This window comes from Homo sapiens, chromosome 8 (assembly GCF_000001405.40).
Source record: "Homo sapiens chromosome 8, GRCh38.p14 Primary Assembly".
NCBI lineage: Eukaryota > Metazoa > Chordata > Mammalia > Primates > Hominidae > Homo > Homo sapiens.
This window is the reverse complement of record NC_000008.11, coordinates 64,158,284-64,172,504: the sequence shown is the minus strand read 5'-3', so window position 1 is coordinate 64,172,504 and position 14,221 is coordinate 64,158,284. Positions and strand designations below refer to the sequence as shown.

General features: G+C 39.2%; 1 long non-coding RNA gene across 1 annotated transcript in view; it reads left to right on the top strand.

The window, feature by feature from the left end:
• The window catches only part of LINC01414 (long intergenic non-protein coding RNA 1414), a 511,616-nt gene that overhangs the window by 196,054 nt on the left and 301,341 nt on the right, over positions 1-14,221 (top strand). Inside the window, exon 2 of the long non-coding RNA NR_125826.1 lies at positions 5,478-5,530. This is a non-coding gene — a long non-coding RNA (long intergenic non-protein coding RNA 1414). The remainder of the gene's footprint in view (positions 1-5,477; positions 5,531-14,221) is intronic.

Below are 14,221 nucleotides of genomic sequence, written 5' to 3'. Positions count from 1 at the left end.
CCTAAGTTACAAAGGGGTTGTGGAGTCCAAGGTTTTTTTTTTTTAATGTAGATGAATTCTCATAGGTGACAGCCCTCAGAGAGAATAGATAATAAATGTCTCTTTTCAGACTTTAAATGTGTCAGACTCTCAGTTATTCTCTCCTAGATCTGGGAACAGCCTATAAGGGGAAAATTCTGGCTACTTTAATGGAGATTCTCTAGGGATGCAAATTTTTTCCACAAAAGACAATCTGCAGGGACGTTTCAATCTGTTGGCCCAGTGGCAGCCATTTCAAAATAGGTAGAAAAATATATATTTTGGGGTAACATTATATAGAGTCAATAAAGAGCCATCTGATGGAATTTTGTGGTTTGTAGGGCATGACTCCCCAAGCCTTTTAGACAGAAGTTTGGGCAAGAGAAAAATAAAATAGTCAGAGTTTAGTCCTCAGGAGAGTTATAAAACCTTCCCAGATGTTTTTAACATCATATCCCCCTAGACGACACCCACTATATTAAATATATATATATATATATATATATATATATATATATATATATAGCAAAGCTCCTGCATTATTCTCTATGTAATTGGTTTACATATGCAGTGCATATTACCCTGATTATAGTTTTTCCTGCTTCTCTAAAGAGGAAGGAAAGTCACACTGATTGACTGAATACTGATATTTTGCTAGGTACTGTATGAACATTATCTCCCCATTCTCATAACATGCCCATGAGAAAGACATTTTTATCCCAATTTTACATATAGAGAACCAGAGACCCAGCTGGCAGCAGGCAGAGATGGAATTTGAACCCAATCTGTGTGTTTCCAGAGTCCTCTCCTTTCTACCATGTGGCCTCCTTGTCTGTATGAAAATGGAGACTCCTTGAAGGCAGAGACCATATTTTCCCTTTTACCCCCTAAAGCACTTAACACAATGCCTTACACATAATATGCTCTCGACATATATTTGTCTAAGGAATGAAGAACCAGAGCAGACCAGGAAACATTTTTTTGTTCAGAGAAATCAAATAAGCATCAATGTACAAAGTCCTTGAAGAATAAATAAGCCATCTGAAATTATAATGTCAGACACATTATTACATTTCACAGTTTTTCACAATTTGCACATTCCTATTGATCCATGAAATAATTTAATTACATAGATTATTGCATTGTGATAGTTTGGTATTGCCATTTTCTCCAGCATGTTGTTGGATGGAGATAAATTCTTTTCTCAGAAAGGAAATATATTACAGAAGAGTCTAAATAAAGATGAAAGAACTTACATACAGCTCCTCCATCCCCAGGATAGTACTGGCTAGTTCCCTCCAGCATCTTTTAATGATTTTGTCCAGAGCAGTTTTAAATATTCCAAGTGGAGCTCCAATCAGTTCTCAGGGAATGCAATGGAGAAACTGAGAAATTTAGTGGAAAACTGTTCTAGTTAAATTCTTTCTTTCTTTCTTTCACATACTCTAACAGTTGTTCTCATTAGAATCCTGAAGGAAATCAGAACCTCAAAAATGCCTTTCTAATGCTTTCATATTTACCTTTTTATAAATATAAATTATGGAATAAAATTAATTTTTTCTGTTTATTCTAATTCTTTGTCATTATTGAACTTTGGTCTCTTTTGACAAATACAGTTGCTATATATCCTGTTTTGTGTAGTTTCTAATATTTTAAAAAAACATTTTCATATTTAATTTTAATCGTCTTTTGAGACACATAGGGCTGCCTGTTGAGCTTTCTGGTTTCAATTCACAGAAATATGATCAGGTTGCTTCAACTAATGGGGGTTGTAAGGACCAATAGGGAAATAATGACAAGGAAACCATCTTAACCTTGCAGGCAGAAGTCACAGAGAACTTAGATATCAAAATTTACATAGTTGATTTAATGTACTTTTGACAGTACATTTAAAGCAGTTTTTTTTTCTCCTTGATAGTTGTGATGAGAGGAGGATAGACATCTATGAATGCTTGTCCCAGAGTCTCTCTGCCTCTGGCTTTACTCTTTTCTCCTCTGAACCTCATGGTTCCCTCTGATTCATGATTCCTACAATTTTATGGCTTTTTTTTTTCTTCAGCCTGTCTTATTGCCTGTGTGTTTCTGTGCACATAAGTGTCAGTTCAGCCTATTTGTATTGATTTCACGTCAGGCATGAATCCATGACACAGATGTTATGGGATCCTTGGGGTGTCACTTTTCTGGGCAGAAACCTCTGTGGCTGGTGGCTTCTTTGCCCAAATTTTGCTCGGACTTGCTGGGCTTGTTCTGCCTACTCAGCATGGCAGACTGTGCTTGGTTCATGCTATAAGCCTGGATCCCACACTTGCCAAGGGTGAGTCAGGCGTGGAACAGCGAGGGGTGTGTGAGTGAGCATGGGGTCCATCCACTGCACACAGTCAGACATGCCTGCTGCTGCAGCGGGGCAGGCAGCTTCAGGTGCCGGCACAGGTTCTGGGTCTCTGTGAAGCTGTGGCCAGACCAGGCACACCACAAACAGCTTCCATGGTTGGCAGTGGGGAACGTGGTGGCACCAGGAAGCTTGGAGATGCCAGGAACCACAGAGCCCCAAAGAGGGAGTAACAGCTCTGGCTCAGGGAGCTCCCAGGTCTGGGCTCCCTGACCGGTGGCAGATCTTCCCTCCTCTTTGGCTGCAACATGGGGCATGTTTCAGCCCTTTTTGTCTTAAGGCTCTTTTAGCCTCGCCATTTGGTGGGTCCCAAGTTCTTGTCCTGTGACCAGGAAGAATGAAATACTCAGACAAGTAAAGGGTGAGCAAGACAAAGAGGAGCTTTACTGAGCAATAGAACAGCTCAGAGGAGACCTGCAGGGGATAGCTCCTTTCTCTAGTCAGGGTGTCCTGTCAAGAGTTCAGCTCCTAGCAGAGAGAGTACCTCCTCTCTGCAGCTGGTCGTCTTGTCATCTATCCCGGTCTGGCTGAGCCCAGGTCTTTTACGGGCCTCAGAGGGGAGGAAGTATGTGACAGTTGGTTCATGGGTGACCATCAGTGGGCCTGGAAAAGGCACCACAAGTTCCCACTCCAGTCCACAGGACTGGCAGCCCAGCCCTGCTCTGTGGCTTGACGGTGGGGCTTCACCGGTGACCTGCCCCCTTCTGCCCAGGAAACTGCCTCCTGCCACTGTCCATGGCACCCAGGATCCTCTCACCAAAGGTCACCTGCAGGTCAGCATCTAACTGCCCTCAGTTCCCCATTGGCTTCCCTGCAATGCTTACCAGTGCCCAGAGTCCAGAAGGGGCCGAGGCAGCATGGGGGTGGCATATCAGCACTGTCCCAAGCATGTGCACACTCAGCTGGGTGGTGACAGTGCTTGGGCTCAGCCCCAACCCCATTCTGAGGTCAGAGCAGGTGCGGGAGCAGGGAGAGGCCAGCAGCAGGCACAGACACCCCCAAGCCTGTGAGGGCAGCAAGAGCCTACCCAAGTCACCATGAGTGCAGAGTGCTGCAGAGACACCTGAGTCCTGTGCCTGGGATGGCACGGCTCCCACCCAGTCCATGGAGCATGTAGGCAGCCCCAGCCACACCTGTTCATAGCTGGGGTTGGGGGCTCTGGGTCCTTGCTGGGCCCCTCTGTCCAACCCTCAGTGCTAAACCATGCTGCTCCCCTGTCCATGGGTAGCTTGGCCCAACCCCATTGCCGTGGCTCCCAGGGCAGTGGGCTCCAGGGGGGGCTCCCACTTGTCCCTGCCTCCTGCCAGCTCCATGGAGCATGGCGCCACCCTGGGCTCAGCTCCACCTCCTCCCTGTGCCCTCCCTACAGCAGCAGTGGGCAAGAGTGGTGACACAGGACAAGGTTCTGGAGCAGCAGAGGCTCCAGACCTGGAAGCAGGTCTTGCCTGGCCACATGAGGGTAGGGGTGGTGCAGTCGGCTGCCTCAGGGATGTGGGGTGCAGGGGACCCACCACTGCCATTGCTGCTCCTGCAGCTGCACCTGCCGCCACTTCTCGCACCTCCCTGCTGCAGCCTGCATGGTGGCAGTGGCCATTCCAGATGGCCCGCCGCTGCCATCACAGAGACCCAAGGGTAAAGAGGTGTTTTTTTCCCACTTCTTGTGCCATATGAGGCTATCAAGTACTCAAAGTATTGCACACCTCCTGGCAAGTAGAGTTTCATATTATTTCAATGTGACAAGTATGGACATGAGATCTCAGTAAAGTTGCCTGATTTGTTCATGTCCTCTCAGTAGCTGGAGGTTGATTTAGATTTAGTGCACAGTTTTCCTGAAACTTACATATTCAATGATCATACAAGGACCTCACTTAGCAAAGCTATACTACTGAAACAGTCATTGCAAAATTATAGCTGAGACAGTGAAAGATATCTGACCTAACCAACTCCATCTTGCTTCTAGCCTCCAAGCTGTCCCTGTTCATTCCTGGGTGTAGGCTGAACTAGCTTTGAGAGGAACTTAGTTTATAGTTTATGGTTTAGTCCTTTCTCAAAACAAAGCTCCTTCTTACCTGGGGACTAGACTGCCTTTGTAAATCTAACATTAGCCACAAGAATAGAAATTATGGTTTAGGAGTCATGCAGCTTGAGGCTACAAGATTCTGATTCTCCCTAAACTGCTTCTAGGATCAGCGCTTGAGACATTTTGCAGACCCTGCACTTGATGAATCAGCTGACAACACCCAGATCGATAAGGTGGCTCATCTGATCTTGTGGCCACCACCCAGGAACTGACTCAGTGCAAGAAGGCAGCTTCAACTCCCTAAGATTTCATCTCTGACCTGACCTATCAGCACTCTTGGCTCACTGGCTTCCCCCAACCCACCAAGTAGTCCTTAAAAACTCTGATTCCCCAAATGCTCAGGGAGGCTGATTTGAGTAATAATATAACTCTGGTCTCCTGCACAGCTGGCTTTGTGTGAATTACTCTTTTTCTATTGCAATTCTCCTGTCTTGATAAATCGACTCTGTCTAGGCAGCGGGCAAGGTGAACCCAATGGGCAGTTACACAACTATGCATATTTAGCTGGGTTTAACTTAGTATCCTTAGTGTCCCTAATAAGTTATTCATCTTTCTGATCTTCAGTTTCTTTATAAAATCAGAGCCTTATAGGGTTGTTTGGAGATTAAATGATATGATGCACATAAAGCCATCACCATAGTGCCAAGGGGCTAATGATTTATAGCTATTGTGATTTGTCTCTAGTATCTGAAGTATTTGAACATTTGTATCTTATAATGTCCTTTTTGGGCAAAATTATCCACCAAAATAATTGAGAAGATAAAAATTATTCTTTTATCTTCTCAGTTATTTTTCCTTTAAAAATGCTCTTCCATTTCCAAAACTTCTTTGAGATTATTAACAGTGATGATAAGGAGGTTGAAATTGAGGATAATGATGACAACTAAGATTTACTGAACAATAGTCTGCTAAGCACTTTACTTATATTATGTCACTGAATTTTTTTTAAACATCACCTTAAAGTGTTTATTATTTTATCCTTATTTACAGATGAGAAAACTGAGGCTCTGAGAGATGACATCATAAAGCCTTGTAAGACCCAGGTCTGTCTCACTTTAGTTCCAAGTGTCTTTTAACCAAGACACTTGCTGAGATATTATTTATTATTTTTCTTTACCATTTTTAATTATACTTTAAGTTCTAGGGTACATGTGCACAATGTGCAGGTTTTTGTTACATATGTATACATGTGCCATGTTGGTGTGCTGCACTCTTTAACTCGTTGTTTACATTAGGTATATCTCCTAATGCTATCCGTCCCCCGTCCCCCGATCCCATAACAGGCCTCAGTGTGTGATGTTCCTCACCCTGTGTCCAAGTGTTCTCATTGTTCAATTCCCACCTATGACTGAGAACATACCATTTTTGATAATAGAATCTATTCCTCAGTAGTCATGGGGCCCATAATCACCTAATCACTGTTTTTAATCACTTAGCTACAGTGATTGTTCTAAGATGTGTCTACCTAACCAATTAATTGTCCTCTTGTGTTTTTTGCTTTGTTTTAGTTTGCATATGTATTTATTTTTATACAGATCTAGAAGGCAAATTCCTTATCTCTCTGACTGCTAGGCTTTGAGGATACTGAACTCCAAATTTCTAAATGTCCATGTCTCTAGTTTTGTGTATAAGTCAGTCTGACAACAATTGACAGCAGAGGAAGTAAAGCAGGGTAAGATAAGATGAAACCACCTTTGCAAAAATCATAACAGTGAGAAAATTATGACAGTAAAAGAGATCTGATCTAAACCTCCAAACTATGCTTGGTCATTCCTGGATGTGGGTCAAGCTAACTTTGGGAGAAATTTATAGTTTAAGTGATAATATCCTTTCCCAAAACTAAACTGCCTTTGTAAAACTAAAGAAAGGCCAGGAGGTTAGGATGGATTCCACTAAAATGTAGGTGTAGTTAAGTGATTAGCATCCATTATTCTGGAGGTCATGAGATGTGCAACTTCCCCAATTATTCCTGCAAATAACATTGAAGCAAGAAATTTTCCCTGATCCCTCTGTGGGTGGGAACTGGAGTGCATGGGTGCTGGCAGGGACAAACTCCACTAACTTGAACCTGCTTTGCTCAACCCCTTGAGGGAGGGAGTACACAGGTGAGGGGGTGCAGGAGCTAGAGCAAGCACTTTTGGGTGCCAGCAGGAATGAACTTTGTAAAGGCTCCATGGCAGCATCTAGGGGGAGTGCCCATGATCCCTGAAGCCCCAGAAGGAGCGTTACAGTAAGCACTCTTTTAGTTTTGCCATCCGCGGATGGCTTAAGTGTTAACAGCTCAGTGAAAGGTCAGTGTGACAGCTTTTTGCTCCCACACCCAAGTTCTCGTCCAGTGTCCAGGAGGAATGAGGTCGCATGAACAAATTTGAAGGATGGTGAATGTGGGGGATTTTATTTCCAATGAAAGTGGCTGTCAGTGGGAAGGGGAGCTGAAAAGGGGATGGAGCAGGAAGGTAATCTTCCCCTGGAGTCCAGCCACAGCTGATCTCTTCTGCGAAGCTCTGCCATCAAGCCGTCTCTCTGAAGTTAAGTTGCTTCTTTCCAGTGTTCAACTGTAGTCCCTAACATCCAAATGTTTCTCTTCTTCTCTGCTGGCAGAGCCTGGGGTTTTTATGGGCACAGGATCAGGGATGGGGTAGGACATGGGTGGTTTTGGAAAAGGCAACGTTTGAGCAAGAAAACAGGAATGTATGTTCTCACTTTGGGCTGTGGTTCCAGGCTTGAGGTTGGGGCCCCTGCTGAGGACCCACCCTCTTCTGCCCAGAATTTTCCTGCCTTGTGTCTCTATCAACATCACTATTGTAGAACCTAAAATAGGCCTTTTGAGATATCTTTTCAGGCTTTTGCATTTCTGACTACTGAATGGCCCCACCCAGACCAGCAACTCCTCTGTGGTCCCCATCCAGAAGCTGACTCAGTGTATGAGGGCTGCTTTTGATACCCCTATGATTGTATCCCCAACCAGTCAGCATTCACCCTTTCCCAGTCCCCAGCTCACCAAACTATCCTTGAAAAATCCTAGTCCCTGAATTGTGGGGGAGGCTGATTTGAGTAATAACAAAACTCCAGTCTCTCATTTAGCCAGCTCTACTACTGGCTATTTTTCTCTACCGCAATTCTCCTGTCTTGATAAATTGGCCTTGCCTAGCAGCAGGCAAGATAAGCCCATTGGGTGGTTACAAGTACAGTCTTGATTGTTTTGTATACTTGGATCTTGTTGTTCCTAAAACAGCAGTGCCCCTACTTTTAAAGGTTTTGTGTAGAATTAGATTTATTAAGATACAGCATTCACAGTTCTTTCAAAGCTAGTTCAAGTTCTGTAATTTGCCAGCAAAGCATTTTGACTAATAAAATACTATTACCTCCTAAAATGAAAAGAAGCAGAGTATAAGATTACACAATTTATAAAATAAAAAAATTACAATAAAAAACAAAAAATAAAATTAGAGACATAGAAAATATTTCATAGGGAATTTAAAAAATTACAGTGTAGAAAATGATTAATAATGGTGTTAAATTAAGTGTAGCCTAAAGCGACCTCATTACATATTTATTTTCAGTTTAGACTAAAGGTTTCTCCATTCATAGTGAACTGTAACTTAAGAGAATGTTCAAATAGACTGTCATCTATTGGTATAAGAAGTAGCCAAGTCTGCCAGTCCCAGGTGGACAACTGTTCAAATTGTGTTTAAATAAGGCCAACACCAAACAGTAACCAATCCAATTGTTTCTGACCTCACTTTCTTTTCTGTATGTCACTTTCCTTCTTGTTTATTCATAAATGTTTTCTGACTCTGTGGCAGCCCTGAAGTCACTCTGAACCTACTCTGATACTGGGAGCTGCCTGATTCATGAATCCTTCTTTGCTCAATTTAGCTCTGTTAAATTTAATTTATCTAAAGTTATTTTTTTAATAATGGTGATTTCAGAAATTGAAAATTTGTGATTTTGTAAATAAATATGCTTAATTTCCTAACAAGGGTATTGGTTCATTTCATGGTGATTATGATTGGTAATAAACTTAAAATCTTGTTCATTCATTTACGTTCATTTACTTATTCATTTACCAGCTACTATTTATATGCCGTAGTATTTTGGCTTTCCTGTTAACTAGAATATAAAAATGAATAAGACATATTTCCTGCCCTCTTGGAACTCACAAGCCAGTTATGGAAACAGATAATTATGGTACTATCTCCTAGTCCTACAGAAAACATACTATGGGAGCAACAAGGACTAAATGATTCTAATGAAAATTAAAGCACTGTGTCAAAGAAGACTTTGTAAGCATGACCTGAAAAATAAAAATCATAAATACAAAGAGGGTTAATAAATTTTACTCTATACAAATAACATATAAAAAATCAAAAGCAAACAATATTCCATAAAAATGTTTACCTCACAAATGGCAGTGTACGTAATATAAAATAAACTCTCACACATGATTAAAAAAACTCACAATAAAGTGGGCCAAAGGTGTACATAAGGCTGTTCAATGACCCATGTAACTGTATTGGCTGTACAAATGCCAATAAACACAAAAGAAAACATAATGCCGTCTCAGGGAAAAATACAAATTAAGACAAGAATAAATAATTTTCAAATATTAGATTGGCAAAGATTAAAAAGATTATTAATATTGATTCTCTGTTGGTGAAGATATAAATGTAAAACAAAGTTTCACATACTTTGAGGCATTGATTCAAGCTTTCTGGAAGCCAATTTGGAAAAAGACATCAAAAGTAGAACTCTAACTCAGCAAACGTTTTGTATTTAACCCAGCCTACTTTTAAATTAAAAGATGACAATTACAATGCTACATCAATGTATTATAATGTAATTATAATATTGGGGCCAACTTAATTATATTCTGAGAACTAATTAATGCTATGTAAAAAGGAATATGCACACACTTAAGTGTACACGGGAATGTTTGTGTACACATAGACTACATACCAAAATATTGTCCACAGCCACCTGAGAAGTGGTAGAATAGAAAATCTCAATTTTTTCCTTAGACACAGCTGCCTGTTTTTGTCCATTTAAACAAATGAGTTTGATTTAATTATATACTGAAAATACTAAAAAATTTACATAAAATTATGAAAAAGAGGATGCACAATGTGACTTTACTATGAAGATGGTGTCACTTTAGCTTTTTACTCAGCAAAAAATAGCCATTAAATGAAAAGTGGAGGGTATTCCGTAAAGTGGAGAAAATTCATAGAGATATGAGAGAGTGGATGATAGGGCACAAAAATGGCCCAGGAAACACAGGAGAAGTAGCAAAACCAAACACCTTAGATCTCAGTGCTCTGAAATTTTGCATAATGCTATTGGAGGTTTATGCTTTCATCACTTGCAAAACTCTATTTGTTTTGCTACATATATATTTTTTCTAGGATCTTTACCTTTGAGAGGTAAAGGTATGCTTTATTATATATACCAATAATAATAATAGCAATAACAAGATTTGTTATCACATAGAAATTCTACTTCAGTTTTCTGCACTATGAAGCAGAAGCTTTTGGATGATAGAAAGAACCAGCTAATCGGGTTATCTAATCATTCCCTTCTTTCTTCTTTTATACCACAGTCCCTATCTATTTCTAAATGACTTAAACAATGGAGATCCTCTTTCTCTTGTGGGGCCAAACTACCAGATGATAGATTTAATTTCCTGAAAGTGTTCATGATATCCAGCTGAAACACCAGTCTCTAATTATAACACTGACTCCTTTATACCTTTATGATGTTTGTAGCTCTCTGACAATGTATTTTTGGCATTATTTAGATATTTTTGAATGCATATTTCATTTTTCTTCTGCTTATGTCATAATTTCTTGATTTAACTTACGAAATTTTCCTTGCTAGTAAATTGAGACTGTAACATTATGTAACCCATAATAAATTTTTCTAGAAAAATTAAATGCTGAATAAATTAATGTTATTATGCATAACACCATCAGATTAAAAAAAAAAGTGATTATAAATCCAGATTTCCTACACCTAGCATTTTCCCTAGTAATACCTTACTTTTAAAATGGGGTAGTCATTGAAAGGAAAGGGTTCTCCACATTATGACACATGCTTTAAAATTCACAGCCATTTCTCATACCTTAAAAAGCATTTTGTGGGCTGTGTGAGGGAAAAGTGGGGGATGGGACACAGTCTCAATAGGTTCTGCATTAGCTCATTAAATACTAAAATACCATTTCTATTTTACATAATTTAACATGGCAAACTATAAAAAAGGTGAAACTGGCAACCCCTAGGCATGCGTTTTAAAACATCCTCATTTAGATGCTAATTTTGATTCTAAGTGTATGACTGGCTTAAAAAAAAGCCATTAACAACAGGCCAGATTACTTAAAAGGGATTATTAGGCAAATATGTGAGGGTGTTCTGATACCAAGTGGCCTCTTTTATGACCAAATACAACCACCTCAAGTAAAAAGGGATGAAGGTATTTGTTTTAAAAGGAAACTGAAATCACACAATAGGTTTTAAAAAAGAAAAAAGTAGATAATAATCACCCTAAACATAAAACGTGCAGCTAATAAGTAAAGTTACCTTCTCCCTAGTGCTAGAGGAATATGAGTTACTGTAACATCTATAGCTTTTGAAAATATGAGGCACAGTTGGTCAGACACAGCCTTGTGTAATGGTAAAGTGAGCTAGAAAACAAAAATCTGTTTAATAATTTCTTACACTGCCTTTTGGGTTAATAAAGTCCCTGCCATGACAGAAAAAGTGAAACAAGAAAAATAACAGACAAGAAAGGAAAGTATGTTATCTTCAGTTGAGATTGAACTGATGAGTGGCAAAAATGATGCTATAATAATATTAAAATGAGACCTGTCAGACAAAAGAGATATATGTAAATGTACGGTACTGTATAAATAAATGAGTGGTAGAGGATGGGCAGATGATTGTGTAAGTACATCACAGCCAAGCAGTGCTGAATTGGCCTTGAATATGGTTCCCTGCCAAACACATGCACATTTCTCAGTATGAGGAGGACAAAGGAAGTTTGACCAGTGAAAACATGCAAACCTATAGAAACAGTCATATTTTCTCTTTGAAATTATTAGACAATTCATCTTTCCCTTCTCATCATTGGCTTCTCTGTGTACAGTTTCTTATAGCTTGAAGTTCTCCAAGAAGCTGCTAGACTACAGTAATTCTCCCTTATCTGTGGTTTTGCTTTCTACAGATTCAGGTTACTTGTGGTGAACCGAGCTCTGAAAATATTAACATATTTTAAGAGAGAGAGGAAGACCACATTTACATAAGTTTTATTATAGTATATTGTTATAATTTGTCTATTGTATTATTACTCTTGTTTATCTCTTACTGTGCTTAATTTATCAATTAAACTTTATTATAGGTGTGTATGTATGGAAGCAAACATAGTAGATAAAATGTTCAGCTCTATCCATGGTTTCAGGCATCCTCCAAGGGGTCTGGAAGGTATCTCTTGTGGATAAGGGGTGCTACTATAATTTACTTCAATGGCTTTTTCATTGTGTGATTGCTAATTGTTTAATTGTTTTACAGCTCTTACAACAATATAAACAATTGTGGGATAGGAAAAAATAATTTTTTCACTACCTTCATAGTCCTTAGTTGGGACAAATCCCTGTATCAAAAGACAGATTAACAAGAGAAAAACAAACAGAAGTTTATTAACATGTGTACCTCACGTACCCACACATGCAAAATGAGTAAATCTCAAAGAGGTGACTTCTAATTTAAGCTTAAATACCATCATCTACTGAAATAAAGAAGGGTGAGGGCAAAACTAGGTTATTAGGAGGTGGCCAGGAAAATCACCTTAAACAAGGATAAGGTTTTTATGCAGATTTAAGTCAGTGCCTTCTCCATTGATAAGAGTCAGTAGATTTAGAGTCGTTCTCTTCCAGGTACAGAGAGGGAGATACACTTACAAATGGAGGTTTCCTTTATAAATATACATTTATCTTACCAAAGGGTAACTTCTATTTTCAGAGCTTCTCCTGTGTCTGCAGTTTCTCAAAATAATCAGCTCAAAATAAGCCTTAGGCCAAAGAGGCATATTTTGGGGTGGCATAATTTTAGTTTTCTACACTCATATTGGGTTTAGCGTATTTTTGTTTCCTACAAAGTAAAGGGTGAGGGGTTATTTCCTGCTCATTTTCTTTTGTAGCTTGCAGAGTGCATTGCCTATTGCTACTTAATAAGTTCTCATTGAATGCATGGGTGGATGGATGGTTGGATGGATGAATGAGCAATTTCAGATTTTTTCTCATCGCCAATTAAATTCTAAAATAATATTCACCCATTCACCCAAGGTACCTTTTATCTTTGCAGATTCTTTTTTATTCCTTCAGATTACCCAATATTCTGTAGCCAAAATGGCTGGCTCACTGATTCCTGAATCCACCCCTCCACTGCCTATTCATCTGTGTGCCTTGGCCCATGCTGTGAACTCTATCTGGAGTATCATTTCTACCCTTTTGTATATCTGCCTCTCATAATCTTATCTGCTTTCAAGTTCCATCATAAACATCAGCTTGTCCATTAAACCTTCCTCTTGACTGAGTATTATGTATCTTTTCTTTCAACTTTCTACTTCCTATCACTTCTTTCAACAATGATGTCTGCAATATTCTGTTTTATGGCAGTATCTCCCTCATTTTAAACTCTCAAGTTGCTTAGTTTTCTTTCTTATTATTGTTATTATCCCTCTTTATTTTTTTGTCTCATTTTGGCTGTTTGATAATTGTAACTGTAATAGGTTCACTGCCTGAGGCACACAGCAAGTCAATACACCAAGATATTGGTGTATTCTCTGCTGTAGCAGAGAAAGAGGATTAACACTAGGGTCACCAAATGAGGAGCGGGGAAGGAACCTCAAATCTGTCTCCCCAAGGAGTTTGGTGCTAGAGTTTTTAAGGGTTGTGGAGTGTGCCAAAGTGTGGAGATTGCTGATTGGTCAAAGAGTACAAGGTGAAGTCATGGGACAGAGAGGTGAAGAAGCTGTATTCTCATGCAGCTCTCATTACTCTGTGGGGGTCTTCAAACTGGTTGCTAGAATTTGGGATCTGAAAAACATCTTAAACAATCCTTAAACAAAAGACTTATGATTCTAATGTCAGGGATCCTGTCTATAGGTACAATAGGGATGCAAATCAATTTTTATAGTCTTACAACCCTAATGTCAGAAATCCTACCTATAGGAATAATGGAGATGCAAATGATCAGGATCTATTGCTGTGTGACTTTTGGCAACAAGGAAATGGGCTAAAGTGCAACTTGATTAATGCTTAATTATAACTATATTTCTGTCCAGAATCTGGCATGTATTATAATTCTTGTCAACCCTGTAGGGACAGTTTCATCATAAACTTTTTAAGGGTAGAAAATGGAGTATGATTTATGTTGCTCTCTCTAATATTGTTTTTCAAACTGCAGATTTCAACCCATTGATGGGTTCTAAAATTGATATAGTGAGTTGATCACTTTGTATGAAGTAGATTATAATAATAAGTTATTAATTAGAGTAGGATAGAAAATATCAGAATGCCTCACACTTATTAAGGTTAAATATTGTTTCATGAAATCTTCTTTGAGTCCTGTAAATATATTTCTGAGCATACACTGTGTCACAATGTAAAATACATTTTTACTGTTTCTTGGAGTGAAAATTTTCAAAATTATTGCCTGAGCTTTTAGCTCAGTTACTTGTA